Source organism: Homo sapiens, chromosome X (assembly GCF_000001405.40).
Source record: "Homo sapiens chromosome X, GRCh38.p14 Primary Assembly".
Lineage (NCBI taxonomy): Eukaryota > Metazoa > Chordata > Mammalia > Primates > Hominidae > Homo > Homo sapiens.
Window position 1 is genome coordinate 147,019,705 of NC_000023.11, and position 6,076 is coordinate 147,025,780.

The 6,076-nt window shown below is 38.1% G+C and overlaps 1 annotated feature.

The window, feature by feature from the left end:
- Window positions 295–1,092: an enhancer, noted in NCBI's record as "OCT4-NANOG hESC enhancer chrX:146101517-146102314 (GRCh37/hg19 assembly coordinates)". NCBI's record gives its function as "activates a minimal SCP1, AML or CMV promoter by ChIP-STARR-seq in naive and primed H9 embryonic stem cells {active_cell/tissue: H9 hESC(naive and primed)}" and the evidence as "EXISTENCE:reporter gene assay evidence [ECO:0000049][PMID:30033119]".

The following is a 6,076-nucleotide window of genomic DNA, read 5'->3' on the forward strand; positions in this document are numbered from 1 at the left end:
TTCAAGTATTTCCCTGAGGATTTAGAAGGCTGAAGGCATGCAGCTTGAGCAAATACGCATTCACATGTGTTTCCTACTGTTACAAATATAAGTACAGAAATGAAGATCAGTTAATAATAAAAAAACTCTTTTTAATAATAAAATATTATAAGTTTTATTATTATGGTTTGTCAACAAAAAGAGACTCTGTAAAATATTTGAAGAGATTTATTCTGAGCCAAATATGAGTGACTGTGGCCCGTGACATAGGTCTCAGGAGGTCCTGAGAACATGTGCCCAAGGTAGTCAGGGCCCAGCTTGGTTTTATACATTTTAGCAGGCATGAGACATCAATCAAATACATTTAAGAAATACATTGGTTTTGTCCAGAAAGGCAGGACAACTCAAAGAGGGGAGGGAGCTGTGGGGGCGGGGGGATCTTCCAGGCCATAGGTAAATTTAAACATTTTCTGGTTGGCAATTGTTGGAATTTGTCTAAAGACCTGGAATCAATAGAAAGGAAATGTTCAGGTTAAGATAAAAGATTGTGGAGATTGAGGTTCTTTTGAATCTTATAGTGGCTGCCCTCAGAGACAATAGATGACAAGTGTTTTCTATTCAAATCTTTAAAAGGTGTTAGATTCTTAGTTAATCTCTTTAGGATTGGAAGGGTCTGGAAGAAAAAGATCTGGCTATGTTAACAGAGATTCTTTACAGATGTAAATTTTCCCACATGAAGGACAGCTTTGCAGGGCCATTTCAAGATAGGGAAAAGAAACAAGATTTGGGGTAAAATATTTTGACTTTCTTCTTTGTCACATAACGTTGAGAGACAGGACTAGCTGGATTTCCTAGGCCGACTAAGAATCCCTAAGCCTAGCTGGGAAGGTGACTGCATCCACCTTTAAACACAGGGCTTGCAACTTAGCTCACACCCAACAAATCAGAGAGCTCACTAAAATGCTAATTAGGCAAAAACAGTAGGTAAAGAAATAGCCAATCATCTATTGCCTGAGACCACAGTGGGAGGGACAAGGATCGGGATATAAACCCAGGCATTTGAGCCAGCAACGGCACCCCCCTTTGGGTCCCCTCCCTTTGTATGGGTGCTCTGTTTTCACTCTGATTCACTCTATTGAATCTTGCAACTGCACTCTTCTGGTCCGTGTTTGTTAAGGCTCAAGCTGAGCTTTCGCTTGCCGTCGACCACTGCTGTTTGCCGCTGTTGCAGACCCGCTGCTGACTCCCATCCCGCCGCTGACTCCCATCCCTCCAGATCCGGCAGGGTGTCCGCTGTGCTCCTGATCCAGTGAGACTCCCATTGCCACTCCCGATCATGCTAAGGGCTTGCCATTGTTCCTGTGCATGGCTAAGTGCCTGGGTTCGTCCTAATCGAGCTGAACACTCATCACTGGGTTCAACAGTTCTCTTCCGTGACCCACGGCTTCTAATAGAGCTATAACACTCACCGCATGGCCCAAGATTCCATTCCTTGGAATCCGTGAGGCCAAGAACCCCAGGTCAGAGAACATGAGGCTTGCCACCATCTTGGAAGCAGCCCGCCATCATCTTGGAAGTGGCTCGCCACCATCTTGGGAGCTCTGTGAGCAAGGAACCCCCCGGTAACAATGTTATGCTAGAGTCAGATTGGAAAGTAAGTCATGATATATAGGGTTAAATAAAACCCATCTGATGAGAATTTATGGTTTGTAGTGCATGGCTCTCCAGACCTCTCAGATAGGAATTTAGGCAAGATAAAAAACATCAGAGCTTAGTTCTCAGGTTGATGTTTAGAAATAAGTACTTTGTGACAACCACAAGGTAAAAGATGGAGAAAATATTTTTCCTGATACTATAGATTCATAGTCCGTAACTAGTAAGTATTGTGGTAGAGTAGAAAGGGGGGATCTATTACTGGTTTTAGGTTTGCTACTGAAAATTATTTACCAATCAAAAAAAAAATATGATTCTTACCAAGCAAAAACTCTGACTGCCACTGAAAACTTCAACTATGGAAAACTTCATAACCTATCCATGTAGTGCATTCCATTTTTTGGGTAACTGTAATCATTAGAGGGCTCTTGGAATAAATTTTCTGTCAGTACAGGGTACAGTGCATCATGACAATGGATTTCCTGTTTTACTGTATGCTTCTAGTAATGGAGTCCACATAGTAGTCCAAAAGACCTAGTGAGCCAAATCTCAACTCATATGTCAGCATTTTATGTGATACATGGAATTCAAAAAGTTTGTGGAATAATGGAATTAAAAGATAAAAATGTAAACTCTATTTCTCAACATAAGCTCCATCACGTTCAACAAGTTCAAGACACTGTTTTTTTGTTTGTTTGTTTGTTTTTTTGAGATGGAGTCTCCCTCTGTCATCCAGCCTGGAGTGCAGTGGCGTGATGTCTGCTCACTGCAACCTCCACCTCCCAGGTTCAAGCGATTCTTTAGTCTCAACCTCCCCAGTAGCTGGGATTACAGGTGCCCACCACCACGCTGGGCTTATTTTTGTATTTTTAGTAGAGATAGAGTTTCACCATGTTGGATGAGGCTGGTCTTGAACTCCTGACCTCAGGTGATCCACCCGCCTCGTCCTTCCAAAATGCTGGGATTACAGGCATGAGCCACCGCGCCCATCAAGACACTTTTGAAAGCAATAATTCTAGCCATCTAGTCCATTCCTAAAGAACTGAAGTCCTGGAAATTTAACCATGCCAATACAATCTTGCTTATAATATTAACTGATGAGAAATGAGTACCATTTAAAGATATATTAAGATTAGGAAACAAAATGAAGTCAGAAGGATCCAAATCAGGATGTTAAGGTGGATGCCTAATGATTTCCCATCAAAACTCTTGCAAAATTGTCCTTGTTTGGGCCAAGCATGGTGGCTCATGCCTATAATCCAAGTATTTTGGGAGGCTGAGGTAGGATGATTACTTGAGCCCAGCAGCTCGATACTACCCTGAGCAACATAGCAAGACCCTGTTCCTTTAAACTGGGAAAAAAACAAAACAAAACAAAAAACAGTTCTTGTTTGGTGACAGGAATGAGTAGGAGCACTGTGGTCGAGAAGGACTCTCTGGTGAAGCTTTCCAGGGTGATTTTCTGCAAAGCTTTAGCTAAGTTTAGCTAAGTTTCTCAAAACCCTTTCATAATATATAGATGTTGTCATTCTTTGGCCTTCCAAAAAGTATTCAAGCAAAATTGCTTGACCATCCCCAAAAAACTTTTGCCATGACCTTTGCTCTTGACTTGTTTCGCTTTGCCTACAACACTTCTACCACTTAGTAGCCATCGCTTTGGGTCTGCTTTGTCTTCATGATTGTACTGGTAAAGCCATATTTCATCTTTTTTACAATTCTTTGAAGAAATGCTTCAGAATCTTGATCCCACTTGTTTAAAATCTCCACTGAAAACTCCACTCTTGTTTGCAACTGATTTGAGTGTGATGGTTTTGGCACCTACTGAGTGGAAAGTTTGTTCAACTTTGATTTTTCAGTCAGAATTGCATAAGCTGAACCAACTGAGATGCTACGGTGTTGGGTATTGTTTCTGCTGTTAATCGTCAGTCCTACTCAGAGCATGAGCAAGATTAACTTTTCCTAGCAAACTTTTGTGGAGGGTCTGCTGCTGTGGGCTTCATCTTCAACAATGCCTTGCCCCATCTTTAAACAAATTATCCATTTGTAAACTGCGAATTTTTTGAGCTATTGCCACATAAACTTTTCATAAAACATCAATAATTTTACCATTCTTTTCCCTAAGCTTCAACATAAGTTTGATGTTTGTTCTTGCTTGAATTTTAGCAAAATTCATGTTGCTTTGATACCTCTTTTCGAGCTAATATCTTACACTTCTTGGTACCTCAAACTGGATCCTTGTCAGACATGAAACAAGTTAGAACAGGTTTATTTTGTTGCAAAAAATTTGAAATCCATGCATAGTTTTTTCATAATATACATCATTGTTCATAAACTTTTTGAAGAGACACTGCCCAGTTAACATTTTGAATATATTTTGTGGCAAAGTACATACAAATTAAGAGGAAATATCAATTTGCATCCTAAAAAAATCAAACTTATGTTTTGAATCTTTACACTTGTCAAAGAAGAATTTCAGCTAGCTAAGAAAATTAGCTTATAATATATGCTATTTCAACAATGTTAAATAAAACATCTAGATTTATTGATATTTTAAAACGAGACTAATGTTTCCACCTCGTTACTTCAAATAGAAGAATAAAAGACAGAAAATTTAACAATCTTATGGTCTTTGCCATTGCTCATTTGTTGAGTTTTGGATGCATTTTTCAAAGATTTACTGTACCATTAACTTTCATTCAAGATTTTCTTAAAACAAAAAAGAATACTTGCCAAATATTTAATAATTTTGTGTTTTACATTTCCTCACTGATATGCCATATCTTGATGAGCTAAAACTGAAGCTTCAAAAAAGAAAAAGCTTCAGACCTAGCTAGAAAGGTGCAAAAATTTATATGAAAATTGAAGCTTTTCATAATGTATATCAGCAATAATGGAATCACACATTTTCCCATTATGAATCAAATGTGGAGGGTATTAATTTTAATTGACATCCCAGAAACTGTGAGCCTGTTTGGCAATGTGGATATCAATATTAAAGGAAAATGGTTTTTGGTGCCTGTTTTAATTATTAGACAATATTTAAGTATGTCTGAGATAATTTGAACATATAAATCTAATTTTTCAATGGTAAATTGTACAAAATCTAAATGAAGATCAAGCATTCCTGAGGAAAATGGGCACCCAATTTGAGTTATGCTATAGGTGTAATATATATACCAGAGTTTGGAGACTTAGTGCAAAAAATGTAAAGCTTGTCATAAATATTTTCTATTGATTACATCTTGAAATAAAAATATGTTAGATATGTTGGGTTAAATTAAATGGTATCTTTAAAAATTGGATTTTTTAAATTTGACTTTTTATTTGAGATAACTGTAGATTTACACAAGCAGTAAGAAATAATAATGAAATATTTCACGTACACTTTACCTAAGTTTCCACAATAGTAACATCTTGCAAAATTATAGTATAATATCACAACTAGAATAGTGATATTGATAAAGTCAGGAAGCAGAACACTTTCATCATCCTTCGTAGAAACATCTACTTCCATCTTGCCCTCACTTCCTTATTAAACCCTGGTAACCACTTATCAGTTCTTCTTGTATATAATTTTCTCATTTGAAGAATGTTATATAAATGAAATCATACAGTATAAAAACTTTTGTTATTGGCATTGGCATTTTTTCACCCAGAATATTTATCTAGATATCAGTAGTTTTTCTTTCTTTTCTTTTCTTTTCCCCTTTCCTTTCCTTTCTCTTTTCCTTTCTCCTTTCCTTTCCTTTCCTTTTTCTTTCTTTTTTCTTTCTTCTTTCTCTCTCTTCTTTCTTTCCCTCCCTCCCTCCCTTCCTTTCTTCCTTCCTTCCTTCCTTCCTTCCTTCCTTCCTTCCTTCCTTCCTTCCTTTTCTTTCCTGCTGAGTAGTGCTCAATGGTATAGTGTATATTTAAATATTCACCTATTAAGGGAAATCTGGGTTGTTTCCAGTTTTTGACTATCATGAATGTATCTGTTATAAACATTTATGTAGAGCTTTTTCAGTGAACATGAATTCATTACTCTGTGATAAGTGCTCAAGAGTACATTACTGAGTTGTATGATTTGTATATCTTTAGTTGTTTTTTTTGTTTTGTTTTGTTTTTTTTAAAAACCTGACAAACTGTTTTCCAGAGTGGTCATACCATTTTACATTTCCACCAGCAATATATGTTTCCCAAGATCCATGCCAATATTTGGTGTTGTTGATAAGAGAGTTGTCACTGGGCCGGGCGTGGTGGCTCACGCCTGTAATTCCAGCACTTTGGGAGGCCGAGGCGGGCGGATCACAAGGTCAGGAGATGGAGACCATCCTGGCTAACACGGTGAAAACCCGTCTCTACTAAAAATACAAAATATTAGCCGGGCATGGCGGCGGGCGCCTGTAGTCCCAGCTACTCTGGAGGCTGAGGCAGGAGAATGGCGTGAACCTGGGAGGCAGAGCTT